The sequence below is a fragment of the Homo sapiens genome, chromosome 10 (genome assembly GCF_000001405.40).
Source record: "Homo sapiens chromosome 10, GRCh38.p14 Primary Assembly".
NCBI lineage: Eukaryota > Metazoa > Chordata > Mammalia > Primates > Hominidae > Homo > Homo sapiens.
The window spans coordinates 119,724,591-119,748,715 of record NC_000010.11 but is presented as its reverse complement, the minus strand read 5'-3'; the positions used below and the strand labels follow the sequence as shown (position 1 = coordinate 119,748,715).

At 43.6% G+C, this 24,125-nt stretch overlaps 1 protein-coding gene across 26 annotated transcripts in view, besides 6 other annotated features; it reads right to left on the bottom strand.

Annotated features, from left to right (window-relative positions):
• The window catches only part of INPP5F (inositol polyphosphate-5-phosphatase F), a 103,098-nt gene extending 80,432 nt beyond the window's left edge, over window positions 1–22,666 (bottom strand). For 24 of the 26 annotated variants that reach the window (NM_001441011.1, NM_001441009.1, NM_001441002.1 and 21 more), the window contains exon 1: window positions 22,357–22,666. Coding sequence is in view for 16 of the 26 variants with exons in the window: in NM_001441002.1 (NP_001427931.1) it covers window positions 22,357–22,453 (97 nt within the window). In the remaining 10 variants the exon portion in view is untranslated. Of the gene's footprint in view, window positions 1–17,233; window positions 17,333–21,859; window positions 22,221–22,356 lie in introns of those variants that run through there. The other 2 variants (NM_001441001.1, NM_001441012.1) reach the window with 2 other exon arrangements.
• Window positions 365–659: a silencer, noted in NCBI's record as "tiled region #1472; HepG2 Repressive non-DNase unmatched - State 23:Low, and K562 Repressive non-DNase unmatched - State 23:Low". NCBI's record gives its function as "represses a minimal TATA promoter and a strong SV40 promoter by Sharpr-MPRA in HepG2 and K562 cells {active_cell/tissue: HepG2 | K562}" and the evidence as "EXISTENCE:reporter gene assay evidence [ECO:0000049][PMID:27701403]".
• Window positions 9,496–10,041: an enhancer, noted in NCBI's record as "H3K27ac hESC enhancer chr10:121498187-121498732 (GRCh37/hg19 assembly coordinates)". NCBI's record gives its function as "activates a minimal SCP1, AML or CMV promoter by ChIP-STARR-seq in naive H9 embryonic stem cells {active_cell/tissue: H9 hESC(naive)}" and the evidence as "EXISTENCE:reporter gene assay evidence [ECO:0000049][PMID:30033119]".
• Window positions 10,042–10,587: an enhancer, noted in NCBI's record as "H3K27ac hESC enhancer chr10:121497641-121498186 (GRCh37/hg19 assembly coordinates)". NCBI's record gives its function as "activates a minimal SCP1, AML or CMV promoter by ChIP-STARR-seq in naive H9 embryonic stem cells {active_cell/tissue: H9 hESC(naive)}" and the evidence as "EXISTENCE:reporter gene assay evidence [ECO:0000049][PMID:30033119]".
• Window positions 14,984–15,484: an enhancer, noted in NCBI's record as "H3K27ac hESC enhancer chr10:121492744-121493244 (GRCh37/hg19 assembly coordinates)". NCBI's record gives its function as "activates a minimal SCP1, AML or CMV promoter by ChIP-STARR-seq in primed H9 embryonic stem cells {active_cell/tissue: H9 hESC(primed)}" and the evidence as "EXISTENCE:reporter gene assay evidence [ECO:0000049][PMID:30033119]".
• Window positions 22,238–23,007: a silencer, noted in NCBI's record as "silent region_2881". NCBI's record gives its function as "represses an Ori minimal core promoter by ATAC-STARR-seq in GM12878 lymphoblastoid cells {active_cell/tissue: GM12878}" and the evidence as "EXISTENCE:reporter gene assay evidence [ECO:0000049][PMID:35858748]".
• Window positions 23,618–23,667: an enhancer, noted in NCBI's record as "active region_4132". NCBI's record gives its function as "activates an Ori minimal core promoter by ATAC-STARR-seq in GM12878 lymphoblastoid cells {active_cell/tissue: GM12878}" and the evidence as "EXISTENCE:reporter gene assay evidence [ECO:0000049][PMID:35858748]".

The window sequence follows — 24,125 nt, the reverse complement described above, 5'->3', positions numbered from 1 at the left end:
ACTTCCTCCATTCTGAGCCCATTAAAAATCCCGGACTCAGCCAGACTCACAGATGTCCAGACCACCAGCTGCGGGAGGGAGCTGCCCCCTTCGGGTCTCCTCATTGGATGACCTGCCTGCAAAAAGGAGCTACCCACTTCAGGTCTCCTGAGAGCTCTTCTGGGGCTCAATGAAGCTGCTCTCTGCCTTGCTCCCCCTCCAGTTGTCCACATACCTTGCATACCTCATTCTTCCTGGACACGGGACCCCTGAATGGTGGGACTGAAAAAGCTGTAACACAAACAGGACCAAAACACGCCCCCTGCTCACCAGGTTGTGGGCAACAAGGAGGAAAGGGCTGCGGCCCTTCGGGAACACCAGACCTAGGGGCTCTCCGAGCCAGGGCTGTGACAGTGGGGCTCTGCAGTTCCTGGCATCTCCAAGCTTCCGGGCATCACTGCATTCCCCAGTACCTGCAGCAGAAACTGCTTGTGGTACACCTGGTCCAGCCACAGCCTTGCACAAAGCCAGTGCCTGTACCGGTGCCTGGAGCTGCCTGCCCTGCCACGGCTGGCACACCTGGCTGTGCATAGTGTCTGGACCGTGCACGCTCGCTCATACACCACTCGCCACTCCGCACCTGGCTTGCCATTGGCAGGCATGGGATCCGGGCTGGTAGTGCAAGCCCAGCACAGCTTGCCGAGCCAAGACAGTGGAAAAAGCCCAGTGGACCCGAGGAAAACTCAGGCAAAATCGCCACTGGCCACAGAAGTGTCCAGGTGGAAAAGCAACACCCTAAGGATCCCATGACATTATAGTTTTTTAAGTAATTTTTTCTAACATTTCTAACATAGTTTTTCTAAAATTTCATGAGTATTTTCTTCTTTAAAATATTCTTCAAGATTATAACTTCATGGTGACACAATTTTCCACTTAAGGAAGTACTTCCTCAAAGAAAACATTTAAGTGATTTGAAGTTTTTCCCCCATCATAAAAAACACTGTGATAAATGATGAATATTATGCAAATATTTGCCTCTCTAATTAATAGCTTTTGGATAGATTCCTGGGAATTAAATTAATAGGTTAAAACCTTAAAAATGTAAACTTCTCAAATAATACCAAATTGTTTGCTACAAAGGTTACATACCAAGTTAGATTTCTGCCAGAAGCATATGAATTTCTTTTTTGAATTAAAAAAAATTTTTTTTTAAAGCAAGGCCAGGCACAGTGGCTCATGCCTGTAACCCCAACACTTTGGGAGGCCAAGCTGGGTGGATTGCTTGAGGCCAGGAGTTCAGCCTGGCCAACATGGTAAAACCCCATCTCTACTAAAAATACACAAAAAATTAGCTGGGCGTGGTGGTGCGTGCCTGTAATCCCAGCTTCTTGGGAGGCTGAGGCATGAGAATTGCTTGAACCAGGAGTGGAGGCTGCAGTGAACTGAGATCATACCACTGCACTCCAGCCTGGGGGACAGAGCAAGATTCTGTCTCAAAAAAAAAAAATTAATAATTTTGAGTTAAAAATTTAGAATTTATCTAATTTTGCTAATTTGATGGCATCTGGCATCTATTGCCTAACATGATGTTTATTTCCTTTCTATTGCTGATAAGATTAAACACTTAATTATAAAATTGGCTGCTTATGGCCGGGCATGGTGGCTCATGCCTATAATCCCAGCACTTCGGAAGGCCGAGGCAGGAGGATCACTTGAGGTCAGGAGTTCGAGACCAGCCTGGCCAACATGGAGAAACCCCATCTCTACTAAAAATACAAAAATTAGCTGAACGTGTTGGCACACGCCTATAATCCCAGCTACTTGGGAGGCTGAGGCACAAGAATCGCTTGAATCCGGGAAGTAGAGGTTGCCGTGAGCTGAGATTACATCACTGCACTCAACTGCAGCCTGGGCGACAGAGCAAGACTCTGTCTCAAAAAAAAAAAAAAAAAATTTGGCTGCTTATATGTCATGTCATCTTCTATGATTTTCTTGTTCATGCCTCCTAATTTTTCTTTATATCTTTCATTGACTTACAAGTTCCTTTCACATTAAGGACTTCAACTCTTTGACATGTTTGCAAATATTTTCAGTTTTTAATTTTTATATCTTTTGGCTTACAAAGCTGTTCCTTAGTATCAGTTACCGTATTTACTGATTTCATCTCTGTTAGTTGTTAACTACTTAACCCTAATGCCAGTGGAATAAAGATACCCTGATTTCTTTCCAAATAGTGAGCCAGAATCCCTGTATCAGGCAGACCATGTCTCAACATCTGCCAACACAGATGCCCCTGCTAAGGAAAGAGCTCCAGCTACCCAGAACCCTACCACCTTGACCTTAGATGAACAGACCACAGTTGTAGGACTCTAACCCTTGGGTACCAAATAAGCTTTAGGAATACAGAAAAGGAAGGAAAAAACAGAGTTAAAGCAGTCACGGAGAGTCATGTAGAAGAAGTGGCGCATCAGGCATAAGGACAGCAGCAAGAAAAATAATACAGCAGACAAAAAAGTACAAGATTTGTTCTGGTATGTGTCCCATCATTGGAGAAACACATATCAAGTACTTGCCAGGAACCAGACACTGTATCACGTTAAGATGATACAAAAATAATGAAGCAAACAGTGTAAATAACAGAAGACCAGTAGGTACACTGGAGATATGAATTGATAATGCTAGAAAAGTAAACTAAGGCCAACTGTGGAAAAACTTGAATAAACAGTAATGAGCCTGGTCGGGCACGGTGGCTCACACATGTAATCCCAGCACTTTGGGAGGCCAAGGCGGGCGGATCACAGGTCAGGAGTTCAAGACCAGGCTGACCAACATGGTGAAACCCCATCTCTACTAAAAATACAAAAACTAGCCGGGCATGGTAGCGCATACCTGTAATCCCAGCTACTCAGGAGGCTAAGGCAGGAGAATCGCTTGAACCCAGGAGGTGGAGGTTGCAGTGAGCCGAGATCACGACACTGCACTCCAGCCTGGCTAACAGAGTGAGGCTTCATCTCAAAAAAAAAAAAAAAAAAAAAAAGGAATGAGCCTGAGCTTCCTGGAGACCATGGCAAGCAGATAATAACATAAGTAAAATAAGATTACGGCCAGGGATTACATCACAAGGTTGATGTAACTAAGGAAACCTTACCCAAAAGTTAAATCGTGTTTTCAGTCGTTCAGAAGGTCCATTGTAAGAGATACTTCTACATCAACACCTAGTGAACTCATAGATGTATGTAAGTACCAGAAACAAAAGTTTCATGAAATAGTATTTGAAAAGAGGTGGAGATTGGGAGTAAGAAACCCACTTGGGTTACTGCAAAAGTCTTGGCTTGAAATGACATGAAAGGTCATGGAAAAAAAGAGATCGAGAAAAAAAAAAGAAAAAATAACAAAAAAAGATTTAAAAACAAAAAACAAAAAAAGAAAAAGAGCTTAGGGAGTGAGCTGGTAGTGGGTGAAGAATCCACAGGAGGAGATGAACATGAAAGTCCTCAAAAGAAGCTATGTGGAGGATAGGGAGAGGGGAAATCAAAGATGACACTCACTGAGACACCTATTCTCTCCTGAATGGGAAAGAACAAGAGGGAGCATGGCAGAAAGGATAGCGTATACAGCAGCTGAAAGGAAGGGCCGATGAGAACCTCCTCATTCAATACCCTTTTCCATCTTTGGCATTGTGAACCATGTAAATGCATCATCCAGTCAAGAAAATAAGATTTCGACTTAAAAAAAAAAAAGAAAAAAAACTATAAAAATGTCTGTGTTGTGGTCTAATGACTAAAAACAATAGTCATTAGTAGTCGAGAATGAAAACCAGTTAAACCCATAAGACTGAGTTCATGATGAGATGATCAAGAAGAAATAACTGGATTTAAGAACGAGAGGAGGGACTAGGCTCAGTGGCTCATGCCTGTAATCCCAGCATTTTACGAGGCTGAAGCAGGATGATTACTTGAGGTCAGGGGTGTGAGACCAGCTTGGGCAAGACAGCAAGATCCCCTGCCTCTACAAAATATTAACCAGGTGTGGCGGCACGCACCTGTAGTCCCAGCTACTCAGGAGGCTGAGGCAGGAGGATCACTTGAGCCCAGGAATTTGAGGCTGCAGTGAGCTCTGATGGTGCCACTGCACTCCAGCCTGGGGGACAGAGCGAGACTCCATCTCAAAATAAAACAAAAACAAGAAAGAGATAAGATGATGAAGAAGGAAAAGAAGACAGATGACAAAAAAAAATGCTACAGGTATAAAAGCTAACCTTGGAAAGGAAAGAAGATACTATTTTTTTCTTCTAAGTCTGGAAAAAAAGATGAAAGGCTAAACACAGAAATGGAGAAGAGAAGCAGATGCGTGTATCCTATGCCCTTGACTCAGTAAAAACAGGAGTCAAAGTCGTCTTTGTTTTAGCAAGGGGAAGGATGGAGGATAATGGGGCACTGGAGGCTAGGTGTGGGAAAGGAATTTGACAAGTCAATTTGCAAGTGTTCTATGTGTGCTTGAAATGCATGTATATTTTTTAACTCAGTGTTGTCAAGAAAAAGGGGGGGAGTCAATCCATCAGTGGGTCATCAAATCAATTTCTTATAAAGAGATCAGCATTAATAGCACTAAAACAGAATAGAAGAGAAAACAAAAACCACAGTGTATGGAGAAATATTTAATGAAACTTTTGTTTCTGGTACAGCCTTGTGAATTATTTTGTTCAACCCCTCTACGTACTTGCTAATTTTTCTGACTGCTTCACCTGTTAGTTTTTGAGAGAGGTCTTACTTTTTAAAATCTCATGCTTTATTTTCTTCCTTATTTTTATATCTCTCAAGATTATTATATTTTCCTGGTGAACTGCTCTGCTTATCAGGACGTAATAACTGGTTTTATTTCAAATAATACTTTTTGCCCTAAAGTCTAGTTGGTATAACATTAATATTGTGAAAGAAACACATTAGGCATTAAAAAGGGATAAATATGAATATTGCTAACTACCTGTCCACCTCCCACAGCCTTGGGAATAAAGTCCAAATTCCTTGGAAAGGCTTGTGAGACCCTGCATAGGCTAGTCCTTTCCATCCCCCCCCCCGCCCCCCGCCCCCAGCAACCTAGCCTTCAGTCATCCTGAACTATGTGCAGCCTGGGCCTGGAATCCGACTCCCCACCCACTTCTGCCTGCCCTTCATTCTAGACTTAGAACAAGGGTCAGTCCTCTTCCCGGACACATTCCCCACTCCACCCACACCCAGCAGAGCTGACCAGACTCTCTCGTGTGGATCCCCTAAACCCTGTGCATATTCCCATCACGGCATCTTACTTTGGTTTAGTGCATGTCATTACTGACTTGCCTGTCTCCTTGACTGAACAGGAACTCATGAGGAAGAGGAAGCTCACTTAGACCTTGTCTCCTCGAGCTTCTGTTCCCAGTGCATGGTACACAGAAGGCTCCCAAATGGATAGGTAAACATATGATGTAGAAAGGGGGGAGGCAAGTTGAAATCAGATCATTTGCACAGAATCACGCTGGAAGGATTTACTACTTAAAGTGGCAAAAGCTAAAGTCATCACAGAATCAAGTTGGAAGGATTTACTACTTAAGGTGGCAAAAGTCAAGTCATCTCATCTGGTCTATTTGAGACAAAGACATTAAAGCTGGCATAGGTAAAGTAACTGCCCAACACTGCACAGCTTGTTAACATCAAAACACTTTCCCACTCTCAGACTAGGGCTCTTTCTTTCTTTCTTTTTTTCTTAGCCAGATGGAGTTTCACTCTTGTCGCCCAGGCTGGAGTGCAATGGCGCGATCTCGGCTCATGGCAACCTCCACCTCCCGGGTTCAAGCAATTCTCTTGCCTTAGCCTCCCAAGTAGCTGGGATAACAGGCCTGTGCCACCACGCCGGGCTAATTTTGTATTTTTAGTAGAGACGAGGTTTCACCATGTTGGTCAGACTGGTCTCAAACTTGCGACCTCAGGTAATCCACCCACCTCAGCCTCCCAAAGTGCTGGGATTACAGGCGTGAGCTACCGCACCAAGCCAGACCAGGGCTCTTTCTAACACCATAAGTTTCTCTACCAGATTCTTTCTGGTGCAATTCTCTCATGTTTGTATGGGGCTTTCAGCTCACCACCATCATCCCAGGTACTCCAAAATGCCTTTTTTTCTTGCCAAGTCCTATTGGAGGTATCTCCTCAATAACTGATGAATCTTTCACTTCTCTTGACCCCTACTGCTACTATCCTTGCCCAGGGCCAAGACCTTCACCATCTTGATCATTTAAAAAGCTGTTGTCTGGCCAGGCGCAGTGCCTCATGCCTGTAATGCCAGCACTTTGGGAGGCCAAGGCAGGTGGATCACGAGGTCAGGAGTTCAAGACCAGCCTGGCCAAGATGGTGAAACCCTGTCTCTACTAAAAATACAAAAAAAATTAACCAGGCATGGTGGCGAGTGCCTGTAATCCCAGCTACTCGGGAAACTAAAGTAGAGAATTGCTTGAACCCGGGAGGCAGAGGTTGCAGTGAGCTGAGATCGCGCCACTGCACTCCAGCCTGGACAACAGAGCGAGACTCTGTCTCAAAAAATAAATAAATAAATAAGTAAAATAACAAATAAAAAGCTGTCGTCGGGCCGGGCGCAGTGGCTCTATGCCTGTAAACCCAGCATTTTGGGAGACCAGAATGAGGCTGAAGAACTTGAGGCCAGGAGTTCGAGACCAGTCTGGCCAACATGAGGAAACCCCATCTCTACTAAAAATGCAAAAATTAGCCAGGCGTGGTGGCAAGCACCTGTAATCCCAGCTACTTGGGAGCACCAGGTGGGAGAATCACTTGAACCTGGGAGGCGGAGGTTGCAGTGAGCTGAGATCTGACTAATCGGCAACAGAGTGAGACTCCATCTCAAAAAAAATAAATAATGGCCAGGCACGGTGGCTCACGCCTGTAATCCCAACACTTTGGAAGGCTGAGGTGGGTGCATCACCTGAGGTCAGGAATTTGAGACCAACCTGGCCAACATGGTGAAACCCTGTCTCTACTAAAAATACAAAAATTAGCCAGGCATGCTGATGAGCACCTGTAATCCCAGCTACTTGGGAGGCTGAGGCAAGAGAACGGCTTGAACCCAGGAGGCGTAGGTTGCAATGAGCCAAGATCACGCCACTGCACTCCAGCCTGGGTGACAAGAGCAAAACTCCACCTCAAGAAAAAATAAAAATTAAAATTAATAAATAAAAATAAAAAGCTGTTGTTGGCCTCTAGCAGGCTGCTTAACACATAGCAGACACTCAGATGTCCACTGAAGGCAAAGAAGACTCCAAATAGTTTGGTACTGCTGGCCATGCAGAATAAGACAGGGAGCAGGAAGAATGAGGCTGAAGAACTAAACAGGAACCCACTCAGCGGGACAACAGGTAGTAAATTCAGGAGCCGCTTCCTCCAGCAGGGCAGATTTGGATTTGAGATAGAACACAGGACAAATCTGTAGAGGATGAACATGAAGGGGCCTGAAGCCAGAGAGCCAGGTGACAGGAAAGAATGTGCAAGGGTGACCTGGGGCTGACTGTAGAACTGGAAAGCTGGACAGAATTCAGCTACTTGGATGTGCTATAGATGTAGTCTGCATTTGGTGTCCTGGGTGAAGAATCCTAGCTCTACTACAGTCTCTGAACCCCTCTCAGCTTCAGTTTCCTCCTTCGTAAACAGAATTCCATCTAACTTAGCCGGACACCTGTAGTCCCAGGTTTTCATGAGGATTATGTGAAAAGTGCCCAGCATCCGTCACATAATAAATGTTAGTAACTTTCACATCAAGTTGAGAAATGTGTATGTATTTAAAACTCCAGGCTCCTACCATTCAGTAACCTCTCCATAATTTAAGGGTCTTCATATGGCTTCAAAGAAAAAAGTATGGGGCCGGGCACAGTGGCTCGCGCCTGTAATCCCAGCACTTTGGGAGGCCGAGGCAGGAGGATGATGAGGTCAGGAGTTTGAGACCAGCCTGGCCAACATGGTGAAACCCTGTCTCTACTAAAAACACAAAAATTAGCTGGGTGTGGTGGCAGGTGCCTGTAATCCCAGCTACTCGGAAGGCTGAGGCAGGAGAATCACTTGAAACCAGAAGGCGGAGGTTGCAGTGAGCCAAGATGGCACCACTGCACTCCAGCCTGGGCGAAAGAGTGAAACTCCGTCTCAAAAAAAAAGAAAAAAGTATGAAAGAAAAAACCCAACTTCAATACATTTTTCAATTATTAAACCTCATGGTAGGACCATAATTCCTGAAAGCCTTCTCAGAGTAATAAATGCTTCACGCAAATATCTTAATGCCTAGATATGCCCCAGAATTCTATTTTCTCAGAATGGGAAACATTGACCTGCAGCTCTGATACAGCATAAAACTGGGCATCCAGCATTCAGTCCCAACAACCAAATTCTGGTCCAAATGGTAAATCGAGCATGACTGCCAACTTCCTGCCCTGCCCCCACACCCGCTACATACACAGGAGAGAGGGAGAATCTAGAAAAGGCAGAATCTCAAGGGAGGTAAAAACATGCTTGGGAAAGACATGGATACTGGTAAACTCCAGTTCCATATGTGAGTAAGTACAAGGTCCTAAGGCTGGGGAAACTACAGAAGAATATAAATAGAAAGTGTAAATTTTAATGGCAACAATACCTGACAAAATTTCAGTTATCCAATAGAAAATAGGGGGAAAAAAATTAAGAAAAGCATAATAAATGGAAAACATAAATAAAAGGTAGAAATAACTTCTAATACATGTGTAGTTACAATAAATGTAAACAGTTTCAACTAACCAATGAAAAGACAGACTACTGACTGGGTGTGGTAGCTTACACCTGTAAACCAACACTTTGGGAGGCTGAGACAGGCAGATTGCTTGAGCCCAGGAGTTCAAGACCAGTCTGGGCAACATGGCAAAACACCGTCTCTACAAAAAAATACAAAAAATTAGCCAGGCACCTGTAGTTCCAGCCACCTAGAAGGCTAAAGTGGGAGGATCACCTGAGCCCAGGAGGTCAAGGATGCAGTGACCCATGATCACGCCACTGCACTCCAGCCTGGGTGGCAAATGAAGACCCTATCTCAAAAAAAATAAAGAAATAAATACAGACAGACTATTAAGTCTGAATCCCTCCATCAGTTTATTTAATTCTATGGCTATTTACAGTTTACCACTACATACCTGCAGTCCAGCATAACAGGCACTCATTCAATAGTTATTGAACAAAATTTAAAAAATAAGCATCAAATAATAAAAATGTTTTTCCTACCAATTGCTTGTTTTCATTGACGTGTAATAAGAATACCATCTAAAGTTTTTATTGTTTTTGAAGTTAGCCCCAAAATATCAGTCTTTGCTATGCAGGCACTTTTATTTATGTATTTATTTTCTTCTTTTATACAAACCAGGAATGAGCTTGGATTTTTAATTTCAGGTGCTTTTAATAATAAAAGCATTTATCTTTCAATAAATATTACACATGATTAGAATATGGTTGCTCAAAATGAAAGACTCACCTAAAACTTCTGGGCAATTTTTTTTTTCCCCTTGAGACAAGGTCTCACTCTGCTACCCAGACTGAAGTGCAGCAGCTTGATCATAACTCACTGCAGCCTCCAACTGGACTCAATCAATCCTCTCACCTCAGCTTCCCAAGTAGCTGGGAATACAGGCACACGCCATGATGCCCACCTCATTTTTTTTTTTTTCTTAGTAGAGATAAGGTCTATCTATATTGCCCAGCCTGGTCTCAAACTCCTGGACTCAAGTGATCCTCCCACGTCAGCCTCCCAAAATGCTGGGATTACAGGCATGAGCCACCATGCCTGGCCTGGGCAATTTAAATTATCCTGAAATTTTTATATTATCTTGAAAACTCTAGCAGGTACACAAAACTTCTCATACTAATATAGAGATAAGAAACACAAAACAATAGAGGAAGGCCTGAAGCAGGTACTGTAACTGACACAAGAAGGGAGACTGTGTGTGTTGTGTCGAGCTGCTCTGACTTCGCTGCCTGGTATAGCGCCTGGCATACAGCTGACACTTCAAAATGTGTGTGTGTGTGTGTGTGTGTGTGTGTATTTAAAATCTGTGGCTCTTCACTAAAGAAATAAAACAAGTTGGCATTAAAGAGTCTGTCTGTACAGAGGACATGTGTAGACAGTATTATTCCAGGCATATGCAGCAAATGCCCTTAGTAGTAGATATCCTACTGATCATATTAATGGCTACTCTGGGGGCAGAAGGCACTGGAATGGCAGAGAAAATGGCCAGCGGGCTCATACTATCCTTCTGCAAAGAATAACCATGTAACTGATCTAATCCAACAAATGTATTGTTTTCTAATCTTTCCTTCAGAAGGTATACTCTAATGTGGCATACAAATTCAAAAAAAGAAAAATTTAAAATTCACAAATAAATTGTAAAATTTAAGATCATCAACGTTATCTATAAGGAAAAGAGTTGCTTACAAATTACAAAAGTATAGCCTTTTTGAAATAATGCCAAATTTTAGTGAAATAATAATGCAACATACACCCTAAGTCATAAGTATTTGCAATAAGCTCAATTGTTTGACCCATCAGGTCAACATTTTCACTCTTATTTCAGATCCATTTGGCAGTACATGGCTTCTATTTTCATATGCCCTCCTCTTCCTGGTACACAGAAAACAAGTGATTAAGTACTGTGTGCCTGCACAGAGCATGAGTCACTCATTCCAAGATGGAAGAATGAAGGCACTCCCTCAGCCCAAGAACAAGCCTGGGTTTTAAAGCACAGCTGCTGAAGCCTATAGGCACTTTCACTGTGTCTTAAAAGAAAAAAAAAAGGTATCAGAGTATGCATAAATAATCAGACCCATATTTCATTTCCTGCTAAAGACAAAGGATATTACGGCTCTAAAAAGACAATCACCAACACAAAATCAAACAGATAAGGAAAAGGGTTTTAGAATGAGAAACTAAAAGTTCCAATTGTTAGCTCATTTATGCTTTAATTCTCAGAATTGGGTAAGGAATAATTTGATTCAGGTGCTATCTTATAAATGCAAAGTTTGATACACATTTCCTTGAACTGTCTAATGGTAATTATTCTCCAGCATTCCACAAGCTAAAGAGCTAATCCAATTTAGAAGTTCTAGCAGCTGGTGATTTCCCAGTCTTAAATCTAATTCAGGGTTATCAGTGCTGGCTGCTCATTATCATCATCTAGGAGCTTTATAATACTAATCCCTGAGCATCAGAGATGGTCTCAATTGGTTAGGGCGGGGCCCTGGAATAGGTATTCTTTAAATCTCCCCCTGGTGATTCTACTGTACAGCCAGCTTGAGAATCACTGGTCTAAATGATTATATATAGGTCACTGGGAAGGACCTGTATTAGTAACTTGGTCTTAGTCTGACTGAAAGATGATGCCTGTAGCACATACAACTTTAAACTCTCACATAATAAAGTAATACAAACTGCATAAAGATCTCATAATATAGGGAGGCGGCATAAAAGCTGGTCTAAACTAGCAGAAGGAAATACACTTCAAAAAGTAACCACAAGAATATTTAAAAGATTAAAGATACCACCTAGAAAAGAAACTTAATTTCCAGGCCAGGCACAGTGGCTCATGTCTGTAATCCCAGCACTTTGGGGGGCCCAGAGAGGAGGATCACTTGAGCCCAGGGGTTTGAGACCAGCCTGGACAACATAGCAAGACTCTGTCTCTATAAAAAATGTTGTAAAAAAATTAGCCAGGTGTGGTGGTGCCCACATGTAATCCTAGCTACTCAGGAGGCTGAGGCGGGAGGATCACCCGAGCCCAGGAGTTCGAGGCTGCAGTGAGCTATCCCACATTCCAGCCTGGGTGGCAGAGCAAGACCCTGTCTCTAAAAAAATTAAAAATTTCTAGACATTTTTATTTAAAAAGGGATCTAATTCCAGCACAGCAAGACGGCCACAAAGTTTTGATCATCATGAAGGAAATTAGAAATTGGTTCTTAAACTCTACAATATCCAAACACAAAATTGTTGATTCTCTATATGAAGCATAAAGTCCTAACTGTCACATCTCAAGAAAAGACCCAAAGCAACTCAAAAAGGAACAGAGGACAACTAAACAAAAGGACTTTCATGAAAGGTCCCACAGTGTAATTAGGACATTTCAGCCTAGGAGGACCTGATGGAAATGAATACAACTATGAAAGGTATAGACTTAACTGTATACCACTTAATACCAGTACAGGAAACCTACACATTTAAAAGTCATGGTTTGGGCTGGGTGCAGTGGCTCATGCCTGTAATCCGAGAACTTTGGGAGGTTGAGGCAGGAGGACTGCTTGAGGCCAGAAGTTCAAGACTAACCTGGCCAACATAGTGAGAACCCATCTCTATTATTTAAAAAATAGAAAAGTCATGGTTTGGGAATGAAAAAGTACAGCTTAAATTACAACTTTCCAAACTCATTACCTTAAGAACCTGAAAGTAACAACCACCTCAAACAAAGATTAGATAAATCCTTGGGTGATGCATTCATAATGCATTCATAATGCATCACCCAAGAAATATGGCAATGTGTTGGGATATATCCCTCACCTTTTGCTGTCCCCAAAACTGTCTTTTGATATCACTTTCAAAAACAAGATTTTGAGAGCTAAATCAAAGCACAGATGAGCTAAGAATTGGTATTTTCCTTTCCTCATTTTAGAGTTATTAACAGAGAAGCTGGGATTACCGGCGCTCGCCACCACACCCGCCTAATTTTTGTATTTTCAGTAGAGACAGTGTTTCACCATGTTGGCCAGGCAGGTCTCAAACTCCTGACCTCAGGTGATCTGCCCACTTCAGCCTCCCAAAGTGGCTGGGATTACAGGCATGAGCCACTGCGCCTGGCCCACAGAATTTTAGGCGATGTAATTTGTTAGGAGAAATAAATATAATACTAAATTAGTTAGATGTTGGGGGATGAGGGCTGCTTCTTCAAGAAAAGTATTTGAAAGGTGCAAATGGGAGTAAATGACACAGCTACACAGATGAATTCTGGAAGTCCCTGCCTAGAAAAGAGACTGTTACTCTGCTCAACTCCCGGGTCCACCCACCACAGTTGCTCCCTGGGGGAAGGGACATTCTTTAAGCTGGAAATAAGAGAATGTTTATATCTGGCATAAAAACAATATATAATGATACTGTGAAACATCAATATTATACCTGCAAATTACTAAAATTGAGAGCATGATGGCATGTTTTAAATTTCCTAACATTTCAGTTAGATAACTGCTTCAAATCGTACATATTGACATTGCAGAAATTGTAAAATTTGAAATTCAGTGTTAACTTCAAAGTGAAAAGCTGTTTCAAAGAATGAGATTCATAAAGAAAATTGGCTTAGTATTTTAAAGTATCCCACTATCAAGTTAAAAAAATGCAAGGGTAAACTTGAAGGAAACTGAAATTAAAATAAAATAACTTAAAAGAAAAAAATATCAGGGAACACTGACCTAAAATCAACCTGTATTTCAGACTTACCAAAGAAAGAATGTGTGGATGCTATTTTGTGAATGAAAGCAGATCCCTTAAGAGTCTCCAACAACCAGAAAATGAGTCATCCTAAAAACATGTGATTTAATTAAGGTACTACCAGTATGTCTTGTGAAGGTACTGTAATGCTGAATGTTCAGTGTTTATCCTCACTTTAAAAATACTATTTATACATTATCACTTAATGTATTATCAATAGCTACTGATAACCTTTAACAATTATTAGTTCCCTATGTTGTTAAACATACTGATTCAAATGTTCTCCTCAGCTCAATTATGGGCAGCTGACACATAATGATTATGACTTACATCAGCTAAGGACTTAGATTGACTAAAGGCTCTGTGACATTGCTGCTACTTCTCAAACTTCTGTTTGCAAATGTAGATTTCTAAAGGTTATGTTTTAAAATATATTTGAACAGGAAAAGAACCGTTTACAAAAAGACACACAGAGACATAGTAACACAGCTTGTAAAGATCTCATGCATTTAATTCCCCATAAAACCATGCCAAAACAAGGTTGGACTATGATTCTGAGAATGTATTGAATCAATAGCAGATTGATTCTGCTATTAGGTGCAGTGGCTCATGCCTGTAATCTGAGAACTTTGGGAGGCTGAGCAGGAGGACTGCTTGAGGCCAGGAGTTCAAGATTAACCTGGCCAACATAGTGAGACCCTGTCTCTATTATTTAAAAAAAAGAAAAGTCATGGTTTGGGAATGAAAAAGGAAGTACAGCTTAAATTACAACTTTCCAAACTCATTACCCTAAGAACCTGAAAGTAACAACCACCTCAAACAAAGATTAGATAAATCCTTGGATAATGCATTCATAATGCATCACCCAAGAAACATGTGTTGGCAATGTGTTGGGATATACCCCAAACTAGTTTGATCAAACTAGTTTGATTTTCCAGTAGTCCAGTATTATCTGCAAATACATGAATAAATTCCACCATACATCACAAGGACTAAAATTAGCAACAACAACCTTCTCTGCACAAGGGCCGGTTTGGAAAAAAACAAAGATGTCTATGGGTCCCATTTATTTTTATTCAGAAAGAAAACAAATTTAATGAATTCCACAGGCTTAAGAGTGAGATTCCTGCTTCACTGAATAAAATGACAGTGAGAAATTTGCATGACTTTTTTAGGTGGCAAGAGAGGCAGTGTGTTCTAGTCTTTTGTTCTTATATTCTCCCTTTAAACGTCCCTACAACCCCTTTGCTGCTTAAACTATAGAAGGTAGACCAGGGACTAGAATTATTTCAATTCATTCAGTACAACTTTCACAAAAAACCTGTTATGGGCCAGGTGCTAGGGATCCAGCAGTGAGTCTCATCCTCTTTCTCCGTGCCAGGGGTGTGTTTAGGCCAGGCAAGTGGGACAAGTGGGGACCTGAACCAATGCAGCCAGGTTCCCCATAGACCAAGCTGTCAGTGCACCTTAGTTTCTGGCACCTTCACGGTCTACTCTAAAAAAACTTGATACTACCTCTCCTCCAAAGCATGCCTTTGGCTAGCCTTTGCTGGCCAGGGCCTGGCCAAAACACAAGCGTCTAGGAACCAGTGATTCTACAAAGTTTCTCCCTTCTTTGAAGAAGGTAGTTTTGCCCTACACGCTTCTCCTCCATTTCACCTCTGCTGTGCATGCTCTGAAAGGATGTCTATGAAATTGGATCTAGGACTCTTGAAAAGCTACACTGAGAAAGGCTTCAGGTTGCTCACCACTGGAGGAAATAGTTCCCAATGAGTACACATGTCAATGCATCTGCTCAAAGATCTCCCCTGTATCTATTCCCTTCCCAAACTGCAGATCTTCCAAACACTTAAGAAGAGAAACCTGATCAACTGACCGTAGCTGGAAAAACTACTACTAGTCAATTCATTACATAACAACATTCCCTGTAACTATATGAATTTTGCAAGAAAGTCAATGCAGGCACAGGATCAACAAACAAACTAGTTATCACACTATTAGCATTTTCTTTCTACATAGATCCTTCCTTAATGTGCTTGCTTTGACATTTGAGAGGCTATTTAATTCTCCATATAGGCTACACTATAATGATTAGGATAGCTAAAGATACATTTCAGCTATTACCCATGAAAATATAAATCCTATCACTTTGTAGTCAAGAAGGTAGAAAGGTTCACAAAACATTTTTGTCAATACTGAGGAAAACCTGGTTTTAGAGTCAAACACTGGGTTAGAGCCTGGCTCTCCCTCTGTGAACCTGGGCAAATTACTTCTCTGTGCCTCAGTTTCCTCATCTGTAAAATGAGGATAATAATGAAACCATCCTCCCAAGGTTTACTGTGGAGATGAAATGAAATAATACATGTAAAGGTCATGGAACAGTGTCTGGCTCAGAAAAGTGCTCAGTTGCAGCTGAGATTACAGGCCAGTTGCGGTGGCTCACGCCTGTAATGCCAGCACTTTTGGGAGGCTGAGGCAGGCAGATCATCTGAGGTCAGGAGTTCAAGACCAACCTGGCCAATACGGCGAAACCCCGTCTCTACTAAAAATAGAAAAATTAGCCAGGCATGGTGGCAGTAGCCTGTAGTCCCAGCTACTCAGGAGGCTGAGGCAGAGAGAACTGCTTGAACCCGGGAGGCAGAGGTTGCAATGAGCCGAGATCATGCCATTGTACTCCAGCCTGGGCAACAGAATAAAACTCCGTCTCAAAAAAAAAAAAAAAAAGAAAAAAGAAAAAAGAAAAGTGCTCAAGAAATAAAAGCTGTTATTATTAGCTACTGTTAATCTCAGGTGATGATGTAGACAACAAAATATACACAAAAACCTCCCTCAATCTGTAAAACCTGATTCCAAAAATTGTCAGTCACCTTAGAAAGACTTTGTACTCCTACCAGGCGTGGTGGCTCACGCCTGCAATCCTAGCACTTTGGGAGGCTGAGGCAGGCAGAATACCTGAGCTCAGAAGTTCAAGACCAGCGTGGCCAACGTGGCGAAACCCTGTCTCTACTAAAAATACAAAAAATTAGCCAGGCATGATGGCAGGCGCCTGTAGTCCCAGCTACTCAGGAGGCTGCGGCACAAGAATCGCTTGAACCCTGGAGGCCGAGGTTGCAGTTGCAGTGGGCCAAGATCATGCCACCACACTCCAGCCTGGGCTGTCTACACTAAAAAAAAAAAAAAAAAAAAAACCACTTGTCTTCTTTTATTTAAGCCAAAAATGGGTGGGGTGAAAACTTTGTAAAGATAAGTCTTTTCTACCTTTAAATGGGAAATAAACGTAGTCATACAAATATGTACATGCATAAAAATAAACATACAGATCTATTCAACCCAACTGTTAGCCTGTCAGCAATATAAAATATGGAGTAAAAAGTAGTATAAGATATAAAACTAGTAACCCATTATAAAAACTGAAGACTAAATACACTAAGAAAAAACCTGGTTATTCAACAACAAAAATGATCAGAAAGATTTTGTAAGCCATTTAATATGTAATTTAAAGTGCCCTATTAAATTCTGTCATGGTAATTTGCAAATTTTTAGTAAACACAATATTTTTTTCTGAGACAGTCTCACTCTGTTGCCCAGGCTGGAGTACAGTGGCACCATCTCAGCTCACTGCAACCTCTGCCTCCCAGGTTCAATCGATTCTTGTGGCTTAGCCTCCCGAGTAGTTGGGATTATAGGCACCCGCCACCACACCCAGCTAATTTTTGTATTTTCAGTAGAGACGGGGTTTTACCATGTTGGCTAGGCTGGTCTTGAACTCCTGACCTCAAGTGATCCATCCACCTCGGCCTTCCAAAGTGCTGGGATTACAGGCGCGAGCCACCATGCCTAGCTACAAACAGAATTTTTTAAAAAGATAAAGTTCAAAATCCTTTTTTTTTTTTAAGTAAATACCAAATGCCACAAAACTCCAAATAAACAGAATCATTTCACAAAAATGATACCTCAAAAAAAAATTCCAGGTGGATTTCAATTCCATAATTATGATTTCTCATTCAAAAAAGTTAACCTCATATGACATAGTAAAAATAATTTCATTATCAAAAATTAACTCTAAGAAGAACAGAAAAAATTTTTAACATTTCTGTGAATTCTAACTAATACCTAGTATCCCTCAAAAAATTGTTCAGGCCAGGCGCGGTGGCTCATGCCTGTAATCCCAGCACTTTGGGAGGCAGAGGCGGGCGGATCACGAGGTCAAGAGATCGAGAGCATCCTGGCCAACATGGTAAAACCCCATCTCTACTAAAAATACAAAAAATTAGCTGGGCGTGGTGGCGCGTGCCTGTAGTCCCAGCTACTCGGGAGGCTGAGGCAGGAGAATTGCTTGAACCTGGGAGGCAGAGGTTGCAGTGCGCCAAGATCACGCCACTGCACTCCAGCCTGGCAACAGAGCGAGACTCAATCTCAAAAAAAAAAAAAAGTTCACTGGGATTCATCACTTAGAGTATCACCTTTCCATATACAGTTTCTATGTTTATGAATGTTATGTGTATGACAGATGCTTTGAGATCTCTTCTTGGTCGCTCAGTCTCAGAACAGAATGTGAATTATTATATAATTTACACACAGCTATAAATTATATAATACTGTCATATCAGACAAAGCCACAAGGACTAGAGGAAGCAATTTTAAGACCAAAGAGATAAGACCATATCAGCATTCCCCCAAAGTGGATTGTATTATATTTCTTTTTGAATCTTCAAATTACAATTCTTATCCTGAGATATTAGACTCTACTCTCAGAAGATTACTGAATGTTTACACGGTGCTTTATCACTTTCCCTGTAGAAAATAAAATAACCAGGCCGGGCGCGGTGGCTCATGCCTGTAATCCCAGCACTTCGGGAGGCCGGGGAGGGTGGATCACCTGAGGTCAGGAGTTCGAGACCAGCCTGGCCAACATGGCAAAACCCTGTCTCTAGTAAAAATACAAAAACTTGCCAGGCGTGGTGACAGGTTCCTATAATCCCAGCTACTCAGGAGGCTGAGGCAGGAGAATCGCTTGAACCCGGGAGGTGGAGGTTGCAGTGAGCCGAGATCGCACCATTGCACTCCAGCCTGGGCAACAAGAGCAAAACTCTGTCTCAAAAAAGAAAGAAAAAAAAGAAAAGAGAAGTAGTAGTCATTATCTTACAACAGACATAAGCATCTAAGCATCTATCAAAAAACTGCTATATATGAATACAGATTACTCATTACCCTTAAAAAAATTAGAAACACCAGAAAAAAAACAATACTTCGTTTTTTAACTAGGAGAAAAAAAACCTGAAAAAGTTTAAATAATGTTAAAGAGGAAAGTAAGGAATACTACCAAAAAGATATTTTAAAAGCCCAGTGTGGTGGCTCATGCCCATAATTCCAGCACTTTGTGAGGCCAAGGTGGGAGGATCGCTTGAGCCCAGGAGGCCAAGATCAGCCTGAGCCATATAGTGAGACTCCATCTCTACCAAAAAAAAAAAAAAAAAAAATTAGCCAGGTGTGGTAGCACACACATGTAGTCCCAGCTACCTGGGGGACTGAGGTGGGAGGAATAGCTTGGTGCCGGGAGGTAGGGGCTACAGCAAGCCATGATCACGCCACTGCACTCCAGCCTGGGTGACAGAGCAAGACCCTGTCTCAGAAAAAAAAAAAAAAGATAATGAGATAATGCTACATCAGATAGAAATATAACACAAGTGCAGGTGTACCTTTCCTCATATTTCCTCATCCAAATGGACAGAGATTTTCCACTCCAATTAAAATATATTCAAAACAGCCCTAAAAAGAGGCCAGGCGCAGTGGGTCAAGCCTATAATCCCAGTACTTTGGGGGGCCGAGGTGGGCAGATCACCTGAGGTCAGGGGTTTGAGACCAGCCTGGCCGACATGGCGAAACCCTATCTCTAACAAAAAATACAAAAATTAGCTGGGTGAGGTGGCACACACCTGTAGTCCCAGCTACTCAGAAGTCTGAAACAGGAGAATCGCTTGAACCTAGGAGGCAGAGGTTGCAGTGAGCCGAGAACACGCCACCGCACTCCAGCCTGGGCAACAGAGCAAGACTCTGTCCACTGCCCGCCCCGCCCTTTCCCCCTCCCCCAAAAAAACAGGCCTAAAAAGAGCAACAAACATAATACAACATCTTATTTTTAAGGCAATGATATTACTGAGAGAGAACTTAGACTTAACTTTAATTCAGCTCAACTCAAACAAAAACGCCTTCTCTGTCCTAAGTACTCTAAAGCCTAGAGACACCAAGATGAGGAGTAAATACAGCCCTTGCCTTGGGGAACACACTGGGACTTCCCACCGGGGAAGAAGTAGGCAAACTTTTATTATGATGATGCATAAGGGTTAGAATTGAAGTGTCCACTAAGTGTAGAAAATGCCTGGAAACACAATAAAGGTGGCCAATAATTCTGCCCCAAGGATGAGGGGTAGCATCTGAGCTGGGTCTTATGGAATGGACTAGGTAGGAAAAGGGGTTGACAGTAACAAACATTCCAGGCTAAATAAATGAGTATTTTAATCTTAAATATCATCATTACTTATCCTTCTGATGTCTCTAGAAAAAGGAAAACTCTTGTTTCAGGTTGTTCAATAGTCACGAATGTAAAAACCACGATGCCCACAAGCTTTTTTGAGCTTATAATACTGCCCTTTCAAAAAAGAAAAGGACTTAGTAATCTATTCAGCTAAATAACCAGTAGGAAACAATGAAAGATTTTAAATGCTGTCACTACAAACAGCAGCAAAACTTGCCATAAAAGCACAGGGGAAAAGTCCAATAAAATAAAGAGAATTTTAAATGATTCCATATACAGAAAAAGATCTGAAAAGCACTTATTCAATTAAAATGCCATTCTTAAATAGCCATTAGTTAGAAAGGATCTTCAGTCCTGGACAGGATAAACTATAGGAAAATCAAGTGCATGGGATTCTTTATTCCCTGGCTATCCTGAACACCTTAAGATCAAAACTGGCTGTTACTTCTGAAACATGGCCTCTTCCTTCCTCCAGACATTTGGTCTACTTGGTCTGTGGCCCGCTATATTCTAAAAAGTATGCCAATCTCAAGTGCAAAGGCTATAGCTACTTTCCTCCCCCAAAAAAGTTTTAAATTTGCCTTCTGACATGGACTTTGAACAAACAGTAATCCAAACTGCATGGCTTCATCCAAGAATCTAGGCGCAGGTTAGCCTTTATAGTTCAAGAAACTGGGGTGTAGAAAAGTTTGTTGTCAGATGAGTTGGAGACGATCTTAAGTCCCATCCAGTTCTAATAGTCTAAGCTTTTAGAATCCAAGGAGTTGACTCTTTTGACAACCTAGGAATTTTGAAATCTGCTTTACTTCAAGCTGTACTGAAGCCTTACCCAAATTTGGGGGAGTGAAAGGAGGGAAGGGGAGAAAGCCAGACAAATGGTCAAATCAGAGAAGAGAATGACAGAAGACTGGCCAAAATTAGCCTATCCATAATAACTCTATCCCGAGATCATCAAGAACTTTATCTGGGCCAAGGAGTTTATCCTCCATTCTGAAAAGAGGAAATACAACGTAATAGCAAGAAAATATAGACAGAGCCTGAGGAAAAAAATAAGTTATCCTTCACTGCTCTGGCAAAGCAACTAGTAGGCCTTCCTAAGAAAGCAGTGGGGCCTGCCCAAAAGTGTTCTGGAGGTCACAGAACTGCCCTGTGTCAGTGTCTCAACTCTAGGCTGTGACCCCGAACGAGTTACTAATAACCTCTCACTCCTTTCTCCTCACCTGAAAAAGAGGATCCCACACGTGTCCTGTAAGGTTGCTGTGGGGATTGGAAATAATATGTTAAAGGGCCTGTCCTTAAAAACCATCCTATAAGTGATACCACGCTGTGATCTGAAAAGCTCATCTGAACCTTTTATCCTTTTCAATTCATATCATGTAATCCTTCTGTCTAGACTGCACATAAGAATTACAAGTAAGTCTGAAAAGCTCTGGCTCCTTCCTTAAAGAACTCTATCCTCTCGCTTTCCCTAAAGTGGAAGAATCTCTGAGTGATATGAGGAAAGGATTAGCAAGCCAAAAGGGGCAGGTGCCACCCAGCCCCATCTTACAAGAAACTGGACTGTCAGCGCTCTGAGGGCAGGGACTGCTCTGTTTAAACCACGACTGCACACACATTTTCCTAAAGCAAGCTAATTGCAGACTTAAGCCTCTCCGAACAGCTTACATGACACCCAAACATGGACCCACAATACATTTTGTGTCGCACAACATCAAGTCACACAAAAATCTCAAAATTATACATTACAATACAATTTAATTGTGCTGTGGTATTAAAGTCAAAGACAAAGGCTTTAAACCGAGTGCCTATGAGGTAACCACAGTAAAGTCACACCTTTAATAATAAGGGACCAAGAACACACGGGATGGCAACAGGGAGTGAGTGTCCAGCAGAGCCCTAGACGGAACTGGCGCAACCGCTCCAGATCGGAATTCGAACCCAGAACTTCTGGCGAAGGCCATGTAAGAACTACTCCAAGGAGGAAGAGGCCTTTACGGCCAGGTGCACCTTGCTGGAACTTTCTGCCGGAGGGGACCCCCTCCCCTCGGCCTGGGCCCCAAGCCCCAAGGGCGGCCGCGTGACGCGGTGGGAAGGACGAGGGTCGCCAGCCCCTTCTGCTCCGCACTGGGGTAGGGGCTCGGCGCTGTCTCGGAGAAAGGCCAGGCTCCTTCCAGTCAGGGAATAATGACAGCTCGCGCGCTCGCAGCCCGCCCCGCCCCGCCTCACCAGGCCCGCAGGCGGCTCCTCCCGCCCGGCTGAGGGGTCCGGCCGCGCCCCCTCCTCTCCCCGCCCTGGCCCGGGGTGCCCCCCGCCCGCACCGCCAGCCTCACCGGGTCGGAGCTGGAGGCCGCCGTCGCGGCGGCTGCACCACAGCGCGCGCTCGCCCTGCTGCAGGATGTAGTGGTCCTTGGCTTGGAAGAGCTCCATGCTGGCCCCGCGCGCCCAGGGAGGCGGCGGCCCGCGGGCGGCGCACGGGGCGTCCTAGTCGGTCGAGGCCGCCAGAGCCCGCGCCTCGGGGAGCGGCCGGGTAGGAACCGCGCCGAGAAGCAGCGGCAGAGGGAACGCCCCGGGGCACCCGACCGGTAGGAGGAGAACGCGCCCCGGCAGCGGCGGCGGCAGCGGCGGCCGTAGAGGCCTCTCCCCCCCGCTCCTCCCCTTCCCTGGCTCCGCCCCAGGCCCGGCTCCACCCCCTCTGCTGGCTACTCTCCCCGAGCGCCCGGCTCCGCCCCTCAGCCTCCTCCTCCTTTCAGCTCCCTCCCGCTTCCTGCCCTTTCCTCCGCCTTCTCCCGGGTGTCTCCTCCCAGCTCCTCCCCGCGGGTCTTTCCTCCTCCCTCTCGTCCTTCCGCCCGCCCCTCCCGCTCTTGCCCAGGCCCCTCCCCCGGCGCGCCAGCCTTCCTGTCGTGGTCACCGGTGGCAGCTCGGGAGCTCGGCCGAGTCGGTCTGGACTGACCGCCTCCCTCCGCGCGGCCTTGGGGACAGGCGCCCACCGCTGGGGCCTCCCCTCCGTGCAGGGAGGCGCTCACGCTTCGCCAGGCCGAGACCTGAATCCAACCCCACACCCGCTCTCCCGGAGCGGTGCGGGGTACGTTCCCCGCGGGCCTGCGCTGCCTGCCCGTACCGAAACCAGGCGAGACCCCGGGGCCTGGCTACAGGGGTTCATCCCCAGCCAGGCCCACAGCCAAGCGGAGGCGTCTTCTGTTTTCGTATTCCCTATTAGAAGTTTGACAACAGGAGGCATTCAATAAATGCACATCAACGAGGGAAAGCATGTAACAATAGAAAACACACAAGCATTAGCAGCACGCGGCTAAAGAGCGAGGAGGAAGGGAGGAATGTACAGGTGCTGCTGTGTCCCGAATTAAGCAGGGCGGTTTGGAGAAGACTTCACAAATGGAGCCAGTTAATGAAGCAAGCGGAAGGAATATCGTTTGGCGAGGATAAGATGAATGGAGACCCTCTCGGGGAAGGAGGAGTCTCCCCCAAACATCCTTGAGCTCAGTCTGTCTTGAAAAACCAGTTGATATCCTGAACAGAATGGGTCTGGAGAATGAGGCCCCCACTTCCGGGGCCAGTTCGAGGACTATCTAGCTGTGTGATCTTGGGGAAGTCTCTTGGTCTCAGATGGTGGTTGAACTAATGACCTTTTATGACACCCCCAGTTCTATAAATCATTGAGTCTTCCTACTCCTAACTCCTTGCCTTCTCTAATGCCTGAATCGGAAACAAGAGAAAAAGACAAGAAGTAGGAGATGAGAAAAATAAGGCAATACTTTTTTTTTTTTTTTTTTTAGTTTAGGAGCGGAAGTTTATAGGCAAAAGAAAAGGGAGAACAGCTGTCTCTCTTGCGAGAGAGAGGAGTGACCGAATGGGACTTCTCAGAAAGCAATACTTTTAACCTTCTGCTCAAGTAAAAGTGAGAGGGTACAAAAGCAGGAAGGAGTTCCACATGACTAGTTATTCCAGCCCACAGTGTTGAATTTCCATAGCACAGAAAGTCCAATGATAACAAAGCGTCCTGGAATCTTTTCTAAGTACCATGCCTCTGTGCTGTCCAGACACCTCAACATAAAGGTCGAGGGAGGTGGTTACTCTATCAAAT